This window comes from Homo sapiens, chromosome 4, assembly GCF_000001405.40.
Source record: "Homo sapiens chromosome 4, GRCh38.p14 Primary Assembly".
NCBI classification, from domain to species: domain Eukaryota; kingdom Metazoa; phylum Chordata; class Mammalia; order Primates; family Hominidae; genus Homo; species Homo sapiens.
Window position 1 is genome coordinate 42,883,530 of NC_000004.12, and position 20,005 is coordinate 42,903,534.

Sequence of the window (20,005 nt, forward strand, 5' to 3'; positions counted from 1 at the left end):
TGCCTATGCTTTTGAGGTCTTAGTAACAAAACCTTTGCTTAGACCAATGTTCTGAAGTGTGTTTCCTATGTTTTCTTCTGGTAGCTTTAAAGTTTCAGGTTTTACATTTAAGTCTTTAATCCAAATTGAGTAGATTTTTATGTATGGTGAGGGTAGGGGTCCAATTTCATTCTTCTGCACACAGTTTTCCCAGCATCGTTTACTGAAGAGGGTGTCCTTTTGCTGATGTATGCTCTTAGCATCTGGGCAAAAATCAGTTGGCTGTAAATATGTGGATTTATTTCTGGGTTCTCTATTGTGTTCCATTGGTCTGTGTCTGTTTTTATGCCAAATACCATACTGTTTTGGTTATTAAGCATTGTCATATTTTGAAGTCAGGTAGTGATGCCTCCAGCTTTGTTCTTTTTGCTCAGGATTGCTTTGGCTATTCTGTCTCTTGTTTTGTTTAGGATTATGTTTTCTATTTATGTGAACAAAGATGTGGATGTTTTGATAGGGATTACATTAGATCTGTAGATTGCTTCAGGACATTTTGATAATATTAAATTCTTCTGATCCAGGAGCATGGAAAATCTTTCCATTTGTTTTTGTCCTCTTCAATTTCTTTCATTAGTGCTTTGTAGTTTTCCTTGTAGAGGTCTTTGACCTTCTTGGTTAAATTTATTTCTAGGTATTTTATATTTTTTATAGCTATTGTATATGGGATTTCTATCTTGATTTATTCTTCAGCTAGTTTATTAGTGTGTGTAGAAGTGCTACTGATTTTTGTATGTCGATTTTCTATCCTTTACTGAATTTATTTATCAGATCTAAGAGTTTTTGTTGGAGTCTTTAGGTTGTTATAGATATGAGAATATGTCACCTGCAGAGGGAGACAATTTGACTTCCTCTTTTCTAATTTAGATGCTTTTCACTTTTCTCTTTTGCCTGATTACTCTGGCTAGGACTTCCAACTATGTTAAATAGGAGTGTCAAATATGGGCATCCTTGTCTTCTTCCAGATAGTAGAGAAAAGACTTTCAGCTTTTCTTCATTCAGTATGACATTACCTGTGGGTTTGTCATATCTGACCTTTATTATGTTGAGGTATGTTTCTTCTTTGCCTCTATTGTTGAGAATTTTAATCACGAAGGGATGTTAAATTTTATTACTTTTTTTTTCTGTGTCTATTGAACATGATCCTTGTTCTTCATTCTATATATGTGATATATCATGTTTATTGATTTGCATGTTGAACTATCCTTGCATTCCTGGGATAAATCCCACTTAATTGTGGTGTATTATCTTTTTGATGTGTTGTTGAATTTTGTTTGCTAGTATTTTGTTATTTTTGTGCCTATGTTCATCAGGAATATTGGCCTGTAGTTTTCTTTTTTGTTTCACTTTTACCTGGTTTTAGTATCAGGGTAATGCTGGCCTCATAGAACAAGTTAGGGAGAATTTCCTCCCCTTCACTTTTTTTTGAAATAGTGTGAGAGAAGTGATGTTTCTTCTTTGTAAGTTTGGTAGAATTTGGCAATGAAGCCAGCGAGTCCCAGATTTTTCTTTGTTGGGAGACTTTTTTTTATTATTTATTGAATCCATTACTTACCATTGGTCTGTTCAGGGTTTCCATTTCTTCCTGATTCAATCTTGATAGGTTGTGTGTGTCCAGAGATGTACACATTTCCTTTAGGTGTTCCAGTTTGTTAGTGAATGGTTATTCATGATAGTTTCTGAAAATCTTTGTATTTCTGTGGCACCAGGTGTAATGTTTCCTTTATCATTTCTGATTTTATTAGGGTCTTCTCTCATGTTTTTTGGTTAGTCTAGCTACTGCTTTATTAATTTTGTTTATCTGTTTCTTTTTTTTTTTTTTTTTTTTTTTTTTTTGAGACAGGGTCTTGCTCTCACCCAGGCTGTCGTGCAGTTGTGTGATCATAGCTCATTGCAACCTTGAACTCCTGGGCTCAAGTGATCTTCTCACCTCAGCCTCCAGAATAGCTAGGACTACAGGTGTATGCATCTATAGTTGTCTAATTTTTAAATTTTTTGTAGAGACCAGGTCTCATTATGTTTCCCAGGCTGGTTTTGAATTCCTGGGCTCAAGAATCCTCTCATCTCAGCCTCCCCAAATGCTAGGATTACAGGCATAAGCCACGGTGCTTGGACTTCATTTATCTTTTCCAAAAACCAATTTTTGTTTTGTTGATTCTTTGTAATTTTTAAGCCTTAATTTTGTTTATTTCTACTCTGATCTTTATTAGTTTTTTCCTTCTACTAATTTTGGGTTAGTTTGTTCTTGCTTTTCTGTTTCCTTGAGGTTAATTGTTTAATTGTTCATCTGAAAACTTTCTACTCTTTGATGTAGGCATTTGTTACTATAAATTCATCTCTAAGCACTGATTTTGCTTTATCCCATAGGTTTTGGTATGTTGTGTTTGAATTTTCATTGGTCTTTGATTTTTTGATTTCTATCTTAATTTCTTCCTTGACTCAATGGTCGTATTGTTAATGTTCATGTATTTGTACTGTTTCTGAAGATCCTCTTATTTTTAGTTTTATTCCACTATGATCTGAGATACTTATTATGATTTTGATTTTTAAAAATTTTTTGAGACTTGTTCTGTGCTCACATACATAGTCTGTCCTGGAGAATGTTCTATGTACTGATGAGAAAAATGTGTATTCTGCAGCAGTTGGATAAAATGTTTTGTAAATGCCTATAGGTCTATTTTGTTTAATGTGCAGTTTAAATGTAATGTTTCTTTGCTAATTTTCTCTCTACATGAGCTGTTTAATGCTGAGTAGGGTGTTGAAATTCCCAACTACTATTGTATCAGAGTCTATCTTTCCCTTTATAACTAATAATATCAACTTTATATATCTTGGTGCTCCAATGTTGGGTGGATGTGTTTGTAACTGTTATATTCTCTTAGTGAATTGATCTCTTTATCATTATATAATGATCTTCTTTGTTTCTTTTTACTGTTTTAGATATAAAATCTGTTTTAACTCATGTAGGTATAGGTATTCCTGCTCACTTTTCATTTCAATTTGCTTGCCATCTGTTTTTCCATTGCTTTTCTTTCAGTCTCTGTGTTTCTTTACAAGTGGGATGAGTTTCTTGTAGGATCATGTGTTTTTAAGCATCCAGCTGATCTATATCTTTTTAGTAGAAACTTTAATTCATTTACACTCGAGGTAATTATTGACATGTAAGACCTTATTCCTGTCATTTTATTAATTGATTCAGGCTTTTTAAAAGTATATCTTTTGTTCTTTTATTTCTCTCATTGTTTATAATTGTGGTTTGGTGGCTTTCTGTAGTTAACATTTGAGTCCTTCCTCTTCTTTATTTATGTGTTTGTTCTACCTGTAGGTGTTATATACATTTGTGTGCTTACATAACAGTAGATCGCATCCTTTTGCTTCCAGGTGTAGGATTCCCTTAAGTAGTTCTTGTGGGACTGGTCTAGTGGTAATGAATTCCCCATCTTGTAGGACTGGTCTAGTGATAATGAATTCCCAGTTTTCTTCTCAGGGAAAGGCTTTATTTCTCTTTCAGTTATGAAGGATAACTCCGGTGTATACATAGTATCCCTGACTGGCAGTGTTTTATCTTTCAGCACTTCGGATATATCATCCTATTCTCTTCTGGCTTGTAAGGTTTATGCTGTTAGTCCGATGGAGGTTTGCTTATAAGTGTTTAGTTGCTTTTCTCTCACTGTTTTTAGAATTATCTCATTGTCTTTAACTTTTGACAATTTGACTATAATGTGCTGTGGAGAAGACTTTTTGAATTGTGTCTATTTGGGGATAACTGAGCTTCTTGTATTTGGATGTTTAATCTTTTGCTAGACTTGGAAAGTTTTTAGCTATTATTTAGTTAAGAAGGTTTTCTATCTCTTTCATTTTCTCTTTGCGTTCTGGGACACCAAAAATTCCAATATTTGCTCACTTTTTGGTTTTTCATAAGTCATGTAGACATTGTTTATTCTTTTGAATTATTTTTTCTTTACTTTTATCTGACTGAATTATTTCAAAAGACTCATCTTCACGTTCTGAGGTTTTTTTCTTCTGCTTTATTTATTCTATTGTGAAATGTTTCAAATGTATTTTGTTTTTTCTTCAGTAAATCCTTCAGTTCCAGATCTTCTATTTGATTCTTTTAAAAAAATTGATCATTTTAGTAAATTTCTCATTTGCATCTTGAATTGTTTTTCTGATTTCTTTGCATTATTTATCTATATTCCCTTGTATCTGTGACTGTGAGCTTGGATCACATGGCAAGCCTTTGTCTTACCATAGTCAGGCTAAAATTAGTTATTTTTATTCCGAGGACACATATTATACAGTATATATACATGCCACAGTATATGTATGTGCTAATTGAGTTAAGTGATTATATGTTCCAGATACTTTGCAAGCACAATCTCTGAGGTATATTGTTGTATCCATTATTTTACTGGGAAAATGGAAAACTTGCTTGGTAAAAAGAACATTCTCACTAAGGTATGCTGGGAGATGAACCTAGGTGTTTTTAACTCCAAAATCTTGCTCGTGATACAACACACTGTTTCCAACTCAAAAAACTAGAAAGATGGAATTGGAGCAGATTAAATAGGAGCTTAGAATGAAAAAAAATTGGTACAAACATAGAATTTTATTTTTTTTTCCTTATTAGGCAAATATCCACGTCCCCCTCACTCACTGCTGTATATTCTGAAAGATCTGGATATTTGGAAAGAAAATTGCATTATTTTTCTTTTGTCCCAATAAGTGTTTCCTCACTTAGGTTCTGTTGTTATATACTTTGTAAAAGACTACATACTCTTACATTACTAAGATAAAGCCACTTACACTGTCATTTAGACATGTTTGTTATATTTTCCTTTGGTAATAAAATTAACCATCTTCTCTCTCTCTCTCTCTTTCTCTCTGTGTTACATAGATTTCTCTATCATTTTACTTCCCAATTTGATTATTTGTGAGGGAGAGATTCTCCTTATTTTCTATCTTTCTCTTCAATGTGAGTTCTTTTTAAAAAATATTTAGAATGAAAGTCATCAATAGTGTTCAAAGTTGGGAAACTATAACATCAATGAAATACTGCTCTTCAATGTGGCAAAATAAAAAGAATTGAAAATTGGCAATGTGGACGTACCTCTTTTTATTACACTTGGCTTTGTTGTGCTTCATATATATTTCACTTTTTAAAAATTGAAGGTTTGTGGCAACCCTGTGTTCAGTGTTTATTGGTGCCATATTTTTCAACAGCATGTGCTCACTTCATGTCTCTGTGTCACATTTTGGTAATCCTTTCAATATTTCCAACTTTATTATTATTATATCCATTACGGTGGTCTGTGTTCAGTGATCTTTAATGTTAATATCATTATTGTTTTGGGCCAGCTCAAAGTGCACCCATATGATAGCAAACTTAATGATAAATACTATGTGGGTTCTGACTGCTCCACTGACCAGCCATTCCCAAGTCTTTTTCCCTCTCCTCAGGTCTCTCTATTGTCTGAAACCCAACAATATTGAAATTAGGCTAACTAGAAACCCTACAGTGGCCTCTAACTGTTCAAGTGAAATGAAGACTCACATGTATCTCATTTTAAATTCAAAACTAGAAATGATTAGGCTTAGTGAAGAAGACAGGATGAAAGATGAGATAGGCTGAAAGAGTGGCCTCTTGCACCAAACAGCCAAATTGAGAATACAAATGAAAATTTCCTTCAGGACATTAAAAATGCTACTCTAGTGAACATGTGAATAAGAAAGCAAAACAACCTAATTGCTGATATGAAAAAAGTTTGAGTGGTTTGGATAGCAGATCAAACCAACCACAACATTCCCTTAAACCAAAGCCTAATCCAGAGCAAGGCCCTAACCCTCTTCATTTCTGTGAAGGCTGAGAGAGGTGAGGACGCTATAGAAGAAAAGTTTGAAGCCAGCAGAGGGTTAGTTTGTAGGCTTAAGAAGCTATCTCCATAACATAAAAGTGCAAGATGAAGCAGCAAGTGCTAATGTAAAAGCTGCAGCAAGTTATCCAGAAGATCTAGTTAAGATAATTGATGAAAATGGCTACACTGACCAACAGATTTTCAATGTGAATAAAACAGCCATTTATTGGAAGACAATACCATCTAGAACTTTCATAGCTGGAGAGGAGAAATCCTTTCAAAGCTTCATAGGACAGGCTGACTCTCTTGTTAGAATCTAATGACTTTAACTTGAAGCCAATGCTCATTTATTATTTGGAAAATCATACGACCCTTAAGAATTACATGAATTCTACCCTGCCTATGCTTTATAAATAGAACAACAAAGCCCAGATGACAGTACATCTGTTTACAGCATGGTTTACTAAATATTTTAAGTCCACTGTTGGAACCTACTTCTCAGAAAAACAAAGATTTCTTTAAAAATATTACTACTCATTTACAATGAACCTGGTCAACCAAGATCTTTGATGGAGATACACAAGGACATTAACCTTTTTTTTTTTTTTTTTTTTTGAGACAGGGTCTCATATTGTCACCCAGACTGGAATGCAGTGACATGATCTTGGCTCACTGCAGCCTTGACTGTCTGGGCTCAAGTGATCCTCCTGCCTCAGTTCCCAAGTAGCTGGAACTACAGGCATGAGCCACCATGCCTGGCTAATTGTTTTGGTCTTGTTTTATAGAGAGGGGATTTTGGGGTTTTGCCATGTTACTCAGGCTGGTCTCTATCTCCTGAGCTCAAGCAATCTGCATGCCTCGGCCTTCCAAAATGCTGGGATTACAGGTGTGAGCTGCTGCGCCCAGCCTAATTTGAGCTTTCAAGTCTTATTATTGTAGAAGTACATTTGGTAAAGCTATAGCTGCCATAGATAGTGATTCTTCTGCTGGCTTTGGGCAAAGTAAATTAAAAACCTTTTGGAAAGGATTTGCTATTCTGGATGCCATTATGAACATTTGTGATTTATAGAAGGAGGTCAAAATATCAACATTAACAGGAGTTTGGAAGTTGACTTCAACCCTCCTGGATAACTCGAGGGGTTCAAAACTTCAGTGGAGGAAATGACTTCCATGTGGTGGAAATACAAGAGAAATAGAATTACAAGTGAAGCCTGAAGATGAGACTGAATTGCTGCAATCTCATGATAATACTTGAATGGATAAGAAGTTGCTTCCTATGGACGAGCAAAGTGGTTTCTTGAGATGATATCTACTCCTGGTGAAGATGCTGTGAACATTGTTAAAATGGAAACAAACAATTTAGAATACTACAAAACCTTAGTTGATAAAGCAGTGGCAGGGTTTAAGAGGATCAATTCCAATTTGGAAAGAAGATCTACTGTGGATCAAATGCTATCAAACAGCATTGCATAAAACAGAGAAATCTTTTGTGAAAGATTGTTGTTGTCTTATTTTAAGAAGTTGCCACAGCCACTCCAACCTTCAGCAACTACCACCCTGATCTGTCAGCAGCTATTAACATGGAGGGAAGACCCCTTTTAAACAAAAAGATTACGACTTTCTGAAGGCTAAGGAGATAGTTAGCATTTTTTAGCAGTAAAATATTTTAAAATTAAAATATGTGCATTTTATAAAGACATAACAGTACTGCACATTTAATAGACTATAGTATAGTATAAACATAACTTTTATGCAATGGGAAACAAAAAATTCATGTGACTGTTTATTGTAATATTTGCTTTATTGCAGGAGTCTGGAACTAAACTCACAATATCTTTGAGGTATGCCTGTATTCAGTGTTGGCACTGGCAAAAGTGCAATAAAACAGGCACTCATATACTAGTAGAAGTGTAAGTTATACAATTTGTGTTAAAAGCAAATGACAATTTTTTTCAAGAGCTTTAAATTTGTAAAAATTCTTACCTCATCAATTTTACCCAAATAAATTTATGCTAAACAACCAGATATATGTACACTGATTTTTAAGCAAGAATATTAATTATGGCATTATTTTACCAAATATTTTAAATTATGAACATCTAGCAATCCAGAAAGAATAAAGTAAAATACAACATGGCTATCAGTAGGTTTTTTAATACACACATTAAATTTATGTTTTTCAGAAATAATGGTATGGGAAATGATTCATGTTATAAGTTTGACTGAAAAAACCAAGATACTAAATAAATGCAATATATTTTTGTATATGAGAGCATATTAATCAGATTCAGTAATGATATCTGCTCTAACAAACAACTCTTAAATTTCAATCTTCATTGCTTAACACAATAAAGGCTTATTTTTTCCCATGACATCATCTAATGCAGGGTGGTCGTGGTTGTTAATTTCTCTGTAACTCTGACAAGCTCAGTGTAGTGCTTCCAGATTGCTCTGGGGCCATGCAGCTAGCAGTTGAGGCAGGAAGAAACATAGCACAGACAGGGCAGGCTCTGTCTCAATTGACTTGGTGCGTAAATGATGCATCACTTTTGCTCACAATTATTGTCAAAAGCTAGGCACTTGTTCCCTTTTCCCTTAAATTCAAGAGTCTGGGCAATCTGGTTTTGTGAGCCATGGAGCATCTCTGCCATTATACACTGGAAGAAAATACACAAAATTATTAACATCTCTAGTGAGATTTTTCATGATTTTATTTTCAACTTCTTGCTATTATTTTCTGAATTTTCTAAAATAAATGTAAATTAAGTTCATAATGAGACCAAAACTATAAAAATTAAAAACGTGGTACTTTATGCACGCAAGCTGCTTTCCTCCCTCAGGAGGTGCAGACAGCTTGGGGAACTCACTATAGTGTACATTTCAATATAACCTTATATATCGTAACAGGTTCCTTAGGTGCTTGCCAAAGTGATAGAAAATACACTGAGCACAGCATGAGGAGGAACTTTCTCTATGCATGGGTGATTTGGATATAATATTTATCAATGCTGATTACCTGGATTGCTTTGGCTGATCTGGCTAGCCTGGAGGGTTTTTCCATTCTTCCCTTACTGTTGCATATGTTTTCTTTCTGAAACCTTTTCTCTGTCAAAGAGAACAACATTTTCTACTAGCAGAAGGGGGAAAGCAACAAAGCAAAAGTTCTCCTTTTCAAAAAAGCTAAAAAATCGCATTTTTGTTACCAAGCTATTCTTTAGCTTGGTAAAGACAGATGTAAGTTGGACATTCATCTTATGCAATGTAGATGAAATCTAACTGATGATTTAATAAGAACTAATAGTAATAGCTCTATGCAGGCATGCAGCATGCAGCGTGTTCACTGCCCTTTAAAGAATAAATAAGTCCTGTGAGAAAACTGTGACTGCTCTTATCCTACAAACTTGGTTCCACATTTTACCTCTAACCTCTGGTTTGGACAATGAATAGTAGAGACATGTCCACTGCTCAGGTCCTTTTCAATGCCCACCATTGGCTTCAAAGTTCAAGCCTTTCATTTTCTTGCCCCATACATATTTTCAGATTCGCTGCATGCCACTTTCTTGCACTTGTCCTGTTAAAGAGTCCACCATGGCTATTTAATATTTAAAGGCTGAGATCATTTTGCGGGTTTTAGTTTAAAGGTAACCATAGCACACACACACACATTTATTATTAATAGCAGAGACACACTGTAAGTCCTTGGGAATCTTCTTTCCTTTTGATGTTAGTTTCACAGGAGTGCTGCCATCACTAGAATTGGCTCTGATATTGCTATCTGGCAAGTGGACTAGTGCAGTAACAACGGGTCCAGAATGCTGTAAACTGTTCATATGGGTGGAGGTGACCATGCTTAAAAGGGAGATGAAGCCAGAAAGTGACAGGCCACGGAAAGTCCGGTTTCGGATCGCGTCCTCTCACAGTGGGCGAGTTCTGAAGGAAGTGTATGAAGATGGGCAACCGTCAGGCTCTCTGGATTCTGAATGTGCCAGTATCTGTGGGATAGATGGACTAGGTGATTCCGATGGACAGCAGAATGGCCACATAGAGTCAGAAGGTGATGAGAATGAGAATGACCAGGATAGCTTGCTGGTGTTAGCAAGGGCTGCCAGTGAGAAGGGTTTTGGTACAAGAAGAGTCAACATTTTAAGCAAAAATGGCACAGTCAGAGGCGTCAAATACAAAGTGAGTGCTGGCCAGGCTCTATTTAACAATTTGACCAAAGTATTACAGGTAAGTCATTGCTGTTTCCTTCTCCTGCTCTTTGTTCCTAACTCACCATCTGAACACCTCTCAGTTCTCCAGTTAAAGCAAGCCTCTCTTATTTGCAACTCCTACATGCTTCATGAGACGCTCCTCCACCTAAGATACTGTCCTAACAGCTATCAATTAAAAACTGGGTCATTGTGCTTGGGAAAATAGACTGAGTTCTCAAAGCCAAATTTCTAACACATAAGTGGTCTTTTTTTCCTTCCAGTGTGTGATGACTAATATAACCTGTCTACTTCTTTGCTAAGGAAAAAGATAAAACTATGCTGTTCAAAGCATTTGAGCAAAGATTAAAAGTTAAATTCTGGTTTATTATCCTTGAAATACCAGTGTAGCATTTATCATTACTTATGTAGATATTTACACCAGAAAATGTTGAGTGCATGAATTCAGCGAGGTTGGGTTCAACTGGAAGGTTGTGCAGCAATAAAGACTAACTTCGACTTCCTCCCATTCCTGAGGAGGTTGCAGGCTTCATTCAATATCAATTTCTCTATTAAATTGCCCATAAAAATTCTAGGATGATGCTTGAAAAAATTACTCCTCTATAAATGTACAGACTGAGATCTAGATTTTGTATAATAATTTTTAACATTTATTACTTTAAATGTGATAGATTCTGCAGAGTAATATAGAAATATATTATTCAGGTATTGGGGCTTTTGACAATGATCTAATGTTAACAAGTTTTTGAAAGCATTGGTAAAGTGATTTGTTTTTTTGTTAAAAACAGATATCATTATGTCGGGAATGGAATTTATGATTGCTATCATTAAGGTAGCCAATATTTTTCATTGTAATTCCTTTTTATATTCTCAATTTTTAAATAAAATGATCTCTTGTGATGATTCAATGTCCCTATATTATATTAGAATGTGTGAGTGGTGAAGAGAGAGGATTTCAATGAAAGTACTTAAATATTTTTTATTTCAAAGAAAGTATTTGAAAATATCAGGAGGATTTAAAAAATTAGTTTTTGTTAAAGGATAAAAACAGTTGACAGCAAAGGTTCTTTTTAATATATGGCAATTACCGGTAAAGAATTTTACATATTGGGGTGAGGTTGGAGACTGAAAATCAGAAACTGATGTTGTGTTCTACTAGGTTGGCAACAATCTTGTTTCAGTTTCTAGAGATGTGATTATTTGGTTATGGCAATCTTAGTGGCCACCAAGTTTCACCAAATGCAGAAATTATTATTGCTAAGGAGTAGACCAAGATTTTTTGCAACAATGAAGTTTTAAAATGTTTACATTCATTATGATTAACTTAGTTTGTTATTATTTGAATTGCCTTATGATTTGGAGGGTTGTTTACAAAACTAAAAGTTTTAGTACTTTGATTTGCATCTGTTTATTCAAATCTCCCCCCAAATTTATTGTTTATGAGTAAATATCTTAAGCCTTTAAAACCTACAAGAGAAAAACTTTCTTCTCCCTATGTGTTTACTCTGACAGTGCTTTAAACTCACAAAAAAGAAAGAGAAGAAATTCCAAAATCAAAATTTTAACACTAGATTAGTTTACAATATTTACCTGCATATTTTTCTATGCATAGTTCCATAGCCCCATTTTGAGAAAAAAGCAATAAAACTGCCTTTTTCTAATAATTTAGCCCCATTCCACGTATTCCCTGTTTTAGAGCAATGAAGAGCAATAAAGATTATTAGCAGAGGTCCTTCAAGGTCTCTGGTACTTAATCAGATCTATCCCTCCCAACTGCCCACCAATCTGGTCCTTTCTTTATAATGTTGGCAAAGTCATCAGCCTATTGTAGGCATTCACAAATTTTGGTCATTATCTTTAGTTTCATTGTCATCAGCAGCATCTTAATTGTGTGAATGTTCTCTGGTATCTCCAGGACAAAACATAAGTTAAAGGAGTGGCTACACTTGGATCAGGGCTGCTAGTTGCATTATTGCCCAAGGAGCTCCATTCCCCATTGTCTGCATGAATGGTACCCCTTAAAGTTGTGCAATACACCCTACTCAACATTATGTAGAGATCTGATTTGGATGCTTGCCACACTTTTTAAGGTATGTGTATGTCATTTGGGGTAATGTACATCTTAGGCATATGTCTTAGGATGATAGTGTATATTCCCATAGGCATCCCACAGAGAAGCCCCAGGGGCTAGAAGCAGAAGTTATTATTCAGTTATTCCTATACCCTTTACCAGATATGACTTTTCCCCCTATATATTTTCCATATCCCTTGCAAAGTAAGCGGTAAACTTGACTGGATGTAATTTAGTAATCTCCCTCAGGGAGGAAAAAGTGAGCAGTCGGTATCTTGGATATTTGATTAAGGTTTCAATGCACAGCCAATCTTATTGAAGCAAGGAACTGTGATTGAAGAAACAGTGAGGCTTTTCTTTTTAAGTTTTAAAACCTTAAAGCACTTAACCTTAAACGTGAAAGAAAACCCTAAATATAAATAAAATATTTCAAAGACCCTGTCAATCACTTGCTTCTTCTGTATTAGTTTCCCACTCTTTTATCCCTGTCTCATAAAACATTGGTATATGTCCTGCAAAAATTTCAACTGCACAGAAAAAAGTCATTGCAATTTTTGCCTTAAAATATTTTTACTTTGTAGCAGCACTTACTTAGAAAGTTGTCTATTAAAGGAATATCAGAATGAATTTCCATTTTATTGGTCAATTAGTTTACCTTATATAATCCTGGGTATTTGATGATGTGCAAAATTAATCAAGGTTGTTAAAGGTAGTGATGAACCAGGAGGCAAAAAGCAGAAGGCCACCTGGCTGCTCAGGTGGGCGTTGTAGAGAGTGGTTAATGGTGAAGCAAAATGTCTCTAGCTGTTCTAGATTATGGCGCTTCAGCTCCAGGTGGTTGAATTTGCCAACTCTCCCAGAGATAACAAGAATACAGAGCTCGAGAGAGGCCAATTTGGAAATCTGAAAACCTAGAATCTAGCCATGACTGTGGCCTGGAAATAGGCGTTTACTAGAAGTTCTTTAGGTTATTCTTACATGCACTAAGGCTTGAGAATCATTGACCTAGAGTATCAAAGAGAAATTCATCCAGTTCCCAAGGGTAAATAAAAATATTAATGTTCCTTATCTCTTCAATATTTAATAAAGAAAATGAATGAGATATGCAATGACTTGTTATTCATTCTTTTGATCAGGTTAGATTATCAGAAAAATTTTTCTGAGCCAAAGATGAATAAAGGTTATCCCAACAGCCATGTTTCCCATGAATATTCAAATTTATCAGTTAATTTGAGAACAGGTCCAGAAATCTTACCAGGACACTCTGATGTAGTTGGTCTCTTTTTAATACTCTTTAAGAAATTCTGCTCTTAGAATATCTCTATCTAGATACATAAGTTTATTCCTCATTACTGGAAAATTTTAAAAATATATTTACTTTCTTTAAAAATTAGCCATTGTTTCTTCATGCTAAGCAAATTATAAAATCAACATATAGCTCATACCTGTCAGTACACAGTTGACATGATTGGATTTGAGATATACTTTGCTGTTAGCAGCAAAATATTTCCAAATTCTCTTAGAGTGGGTCAATGATGCAGATAATTAAGGCTGCTTATTTTTGATAATTTATTCTTATGAGATTACATTTCAGACAGCGATTTTTTTCTTGACCTTATCCTCAAACTGTGTGAATAAACTGTTAGAATATTGTACTGTCATTTCCATAATTTTAATTTCCTTTCCTTCTCCAAATTTAAAATTACTGTATTAGAGATAAATAGGTGCAAAGAAGGAAAATAATTACAACACATACTATAATTTGGCATTTCCTTTCTAGGAACTCAAATTAAACATATAACCTCCGTCTATGTATGTACATGGATATTTCCGGTTAGTGTGATTGTATTTATAAGCATTCTAATATTTCAAGACAAATGAAATAAAAGTAGTATGTTTGTGGAAAAACCAGTATGTTTGTGGAAAAACCTAAGGACTCATTCTGAGAGATTTTGGAAATATTTTGCTGCTAAGAACAAAGTATACCTCAAATTTAATGATGTCAACTGGCTACTGAGAGGTATGAGCTGTGTGGTGATTTTGTAATTTCTTTAGCATGAAGTAACAATGGCTAATTTTTAAAGAAAGTAAATAATTTTTCTAAAATTTTTCAGTAATGAGGAATAAAATGTTATTTTGCATTTTACACAGGGATTTCACATATATTATTTTAATTAATTGTGCCCAAAAGTTTATAAAGTGAACAGAAAAGTTATTACTATTATTATTATTATTATTATTATTATTATTATTATTCTTATTATGTCTGTTTTTAGATAACTAAGTGTGAGAGAAATCCAGTCTCTGGCCCAAAGCTAGTAATGCAAGAACTCTGCCCTTTGCTGTTTTGGCTTTCACAGTTTTCAAAAGTGTTGTACTATATGCATAAACTCCCAACTTTATGTTTTGAAATGTCATGATAACAAACATGAAGACTAAATGTATCATGTAATAAGACTAAACATATCATGTTATTATATAATCTGGCCTTTTGAAATTTCAACATTTAGTTAGCAGGTTTTACAATTTATCATTTATTGAACATTTGATCTTCATCTAGAAAGGTTTTTTTTTCTGCAGAGTTAAATAGCTTCAATTCAGCTTTGAATTGTATTTTTAAAAGGTTTATATCATTTCTATAACATCGTTTGATTAAAGTGTCATGAGGTTGCAAGGATTGACACTGAAAGAGGATGACTTGTTTACCTCAAGTATACTGGTGCTTACAGTGGTTCACTATCTCAGGATGGGTAGTGTTAACACACCTTTCCAGCAGTATTTATTATGCATCTCTGGTTCACTGAATCAAACTCCGATAATAGAATAATAGTTCAGTAAAAACAAGGTGATATTCTTGATGACTCCTTAGTCCCAGTGGTTCATTTGGACCACTCTGGGAAAATAATTAGCATTAAGTACTTATTGAATATTAGACACTGTTGACATTATTTATGTGCATTGATATTTATTCCTTACAACAACCCTGTGAGGTATATTACTATTAATCAATTAATTATCAATTAATTATGATCTGAGCTTCTTCTCTGACAGAAACATTAATTTATAGGATTTAAAATGTTATGTATCCTGAGAAATTCTTATGTAGTGTTCTGTCAAGACTATCATGTATTAATGGAAATATTATCTTTTTAGATATTAAGAGGTAGGTAAAGAAGCTCTAGGATTTTTGATACAATTCCAAATGATGCGAGAAACTACACTAAGAGATTAAGTGACTTATGTAAAAAGCAGGAAAGAAAAAGCAGCAAAGATGAGTTGGTACTACTGATATTTATGCACAATTAAAGAATTGTAAACTGATAGAACTTAGAGTCCTGTGACCACCTTGCACATACCATCCTTGGCTCTTGCTTATGGTATTAGCGCACATACTGAGTAGGACCTCAATAAATTTTCTTCCTTGAGTTAATGAATTAACCCTCTTAGTGGTTATTTTCCTCTTCTCCATCTCTTTTGGGTTTGGAGATTTCCCATAACGGACAGGACTAGAGTTTGCATGGCGAAGTGTTGCTGGCTTGCTTCATTCCATTCTTTCTTTTGATCATTTTCAATCATTCATTAATAACTATTTACTGCATATCTACCGTGAGACAAAAAATATGTTAGATAATGTGAGGACTAAAACCCAATTCCTGCCTTCATGGACTATCCAGCAGTGTGTTGTGAATGATTGTGTAAAGCAATTCCTGGAGGAACTCAGAAACAAAAGATTTTGTTTTCATCCCCAGAAGATTCTCTCTTTCTGCTTTCTTGTTGGTTTACCAGCCTCTATGCATTCCTCAGGCCAATGCTTATATTTTTCTCCTTTTAGTCTTTCTCTTATTAGACCATCATTTTATTTTGGATCTTTTTCTTTAGCTTGCTCTTGCTTTCTTTCTAGTTGAGTTCTGTCTCAAGGACAATAACTGAAGGCTCATCTGTATAATGACTTTTATCTTGATCCTGCAAATCTCTAGAAGTGAATAACAGTGACTCTGACCATTAGCACCGACTTATCCAAGTTCTACTCATCATGTTAAAACTTTCCTTCTAAAGTTAGTTCAATTAATATCTAAGTTGGAAAATCACATTTTTTCCTGGTTCATCAGAATCTTTGTATCATGACATTTTAAACTGTGGAACATTGGTAATTCCCTGAGCTTAATCCTATGAATCTGTCTGAATTCTGGCTTTAGAACAACCTGCTGAGCAAAGTCACAGATTCCACAATATGACTTGAAACTGCTTAATGAATGCTTATGGGTGGCCCATGATTACCACATAATTAAGGAATTAGCACCTAATGTTTCTAAAACTTAAAAATGCAATTTAACAGCTGAGCAAGGCAAACGTTCTTTTGCTGGCTTGCTCATGCTGGCAGATATTGCTCATGCTGATATTTTCTCTGAAACCCAGTATTTTAAATTTTGTATAAAAGTAATATAAACATTTAATAGTCTATACACTGACACAGCATATAAATGTATCAATCCTTCAATAATTATTGCCTGGAAGGGATTTACAAAATTATAAACAGAATAAGATGTCATGCAGAAATTTTCAGTTAAGGGCATTTTATTTACGTGCACAAATCTACTCAATAAAGATTTGAGACATCTTTGCTCAATTTTATTTTTCTAATAATTCATTATCTCATTTAATTGCTGATAAATTATGCCTTAGAACATTGCATCAGGAGTGAAGTAATAGACTCTTTTACATAGCAAATAAAGTAAATAATAGGAGTATTCCCTTTTTTTGATTCTTAAATAACAAAGTTAGGCTATGAAATAATTAGTTGCTTCTTTTTTGTATCTTTTATGTAATTAATTATAAGAAATTTAAGATCCCTTTTATATGAAAACTCTGTATAAGCTTGACTAGCCCAAAAGAGGGTAGAGTAGTGAAAACCAAGGTGTTGATTTGCTAGAGATAGATTTTGTCAGATGAGAAGGCTCTGGGGAATTGTGTTATTACAGGTCAGTGGAAAGAGAATAGGGAAACTTAGAGTACCAAATGAATGGAGACTAACGAGGGTCATCTTAGTTAAAAAGGGGACAAGAGCTGGGTGGTCTGTGACCTCAGGAACTTGTGGGGGGTCTACAGATTGAGGGGAGGGTCTAGAGCAGGGTCAGCAGGGAGAGGCTACTGGGTAACTCTGCTCATGAGGGTCCCAGAACTAATCCATGCCACAGGGCAACTGTTCTTATTCGCGTATCACCTTTGGTGAAGAGCCAGGTTCACATGCCCTCTCATGAGTACCTTCCTTTGACAGCTGTCAAATGCACAATGCTTGTGGCGCATCTAGCAGAAGGGATGCCCTCCAGTTTCCCAAGGTTCTGTTGCTTCTAAACTGTCCCAAGTAAATATCCCCTTTTTAAGGACCCAAGACTCATGATTTCTCCCAGAAATCAAGAACATGGTCATTGGCATCCACATTAATCATGCTGGTTATGTGAAAAATAAAGCCTGCGGTATCCATATTCAGAAGAGACTGAACAACAATTACTACTCACCCGGTGTATTAGTTTCCTATTGCTGCTGAAACAAATCAAATCACTACAAACTTAGAGCCTTAAATCAGCGCAAATCTATCTCTTCACAGTTATGGAGGTCAGAAGCCTGAAATGATTGTAATGGGACCAAAATCAAAGTTTTGGCAGTGCTGCTTCCTCTCTGGAGGCTTTACGGCAGAATTCATTTCTTGCATTTCTCAGCTTCCAAAGGCTGTCCACATTCCTTGGCTTGTGGCCCTGCATCCTTCTGACTTCTGCTTCCACTATTACATCTTCTCTAACTCTATTGCCCTCCTTTTTCCCATATAAAGATCTTCATGATTACGTTGGGCCTATCCAGTCTGGGATAATCTTCCTATCTCAAGATGCTTAATGCAATCATGTCTGCAAAGTGCCTTTTGCTGTGTAAAGAAATATATTCATAGATTGTAGAGATTAGGACATGGGTAGCTATTATTCTGCCTTCTATACTTGGTATTAAGCTTATTTTGTACATGAAAAGACTGAGGCCTTGTTGTAGACTAAATCATTGGCTTCATTTTTTCCTGGTTCCCTGTGGTAGTATCATACATTGGCATACTTTTGCCATGGCCACCAGGGGATAGAGTGTATTTCCACAGCCCTTGGCTTTGGTCTTGACCATGTGACTTCCTTTGGCTGAAAGGATGGTAATAAATATGGCACAATCAAAGTATTGAAACTGGTTTGCATTGTTGGGCTTGCCCTCTTAGATACCTTTCCTGTGGAAACATTATAATGCTGTTTTGTGTGTTTCCTTTCTGTAGTTACGTATATGATGCTACATTCAATATAATTTAATTTTATTATGTTAGTCCAGGCATTTAAAATCTTTTTGGACTCTGGTCTTGAATCTAGTTGTATCTTAGTATTATATACCTTACTGAGTAAATATAACACAGTGTTGATCATGGCAAATTGTCAGTATAGAATAACACCAAGTGAGTCAAAAGAAATGAATTAAGAGAAGATTAAGCACCCCTAATGAAGCAACAAATGTTTGGTTTAGTAAATATTATACATCAATAAAGTTAAACTAGTGGTTTTATGGAAAGAAGAGAAAGACAAATGATGCGAGAGTGGTTGTGATGCAGAACACATCAGCCTCAGAGGACTCCAGGGTGTCCTCTTATCAGTTTCTATAACAGTGACCCTGTTACTGCATTAATTTGCTGAGGATAATGGCTTCCAACTCCATCCATGTCCCTGCAAAGGATGTGATCTCAGTTATTTCGATGGCTGCATAGTATTCCATGGTGTATATGTACCACATTTTCTTTATCCAGTCTATCATTGATGGCATTTAGATAGATTCCATGTCTTTGCTATTGTGAATAGTGCTGCAATGAACATACGTGTGCATGTATCTTTGTAATGGAATGAGGAGCTGAATGATGACAACACATGAACACATTTTGGGGGAACAACACACACTGGGGCATTTCAGGGGTGGAGTGGTGGGAGGGAGAGCTTCAGGAAGAATAGCTAATAGATGCTGGGCTTAACACCTAGGTGATGGGATGATCTGTGCAGCAAACCACCATGGCACATAATTACCTATGCAGCAAACCTGCACATCCTGCACATGTACCCCTGAACTTAAAATAAAAGTTGAAGAAAAATGAAGAATGACTCTAACACATTATTCTTGTAGTGCCAGAAACTTTTCTCAGAAAAGGAGTCATTTGTCCCCAAGGGGTCATCTTAATTCCTATAGTCTGAGGGAAATAACTATGATCTCAGAGAAGCGTGTAGCTTGTTGTCAGAGTATAAACATTATTGAATCAATTGAATCAATAATCCAGCACTGGGCTTCTAGAACTCAGGAGGTTTCATGTGAAACCCAGAGGCTACAACCGGAGCCCGAAGGCTGAAGATTTGCCTCTCTCAGTGCCTGGTGCTTTAAACAGCTGGCTTTATAGTACAGTTTTACACATGTTTTATTTAAAATAATATTAGAAAATCTACTACAAAGATAACACAAATCAACCAATGATACTTACTAAGGATGCCACCTCTCTTTCTAACTACACAGAAAACCAAATAAAAAATTTGGGCCACAGCTTTGTAGATTTTTTTTTTTTTTTTTTTTTTTTTTTTAGACGGAGTCTCTCACCCAGGCTGGAGTGCAGTGGCATGATCTCGGCTCACTGCAAGCTCTGCCTCCTGGGTTCATGCCATTCTCCTGCCTCAGCCTCCCAAGTAGCTGGGACTACAGGCACCCACCACCACGCCAGGCTAATTTTTTGTATTTTTTAGTAGAAATGGGGTTTAACCATGTTAGCCAGGATGGTCTCT

General features: G+C 35.2%; 1 protein-coding gene and 1 pseudogene across 1 annotated transcript in view; both read left to right on the forward strand.

The window, feature by feature from the left end:
- RN7SKP82 (RN7SK pseudogene 82) lies at positions 8,867–9,089 on the forward strand (annotated as a pseudogene).
- Positions 9,184–20,005, forward strand: part of GRXCR1 (glutaredoxin and cysteine rich domain containing 1) — a 137,946-nt gene continuing 127,124 nt past the window's right edge. The window contains exon 1 of the mRNA NM_001080476.3: positions 9,184–10,121. Within this exon, the coding sequence (NP_001073945.1) occupies positions 9,738–10,121 (384 nt within the window). The 5' untranslated portion in view covers positions 9,184–9,737. The remainder of the gene's footprint in view (positions 10,122–20,005) is intronic.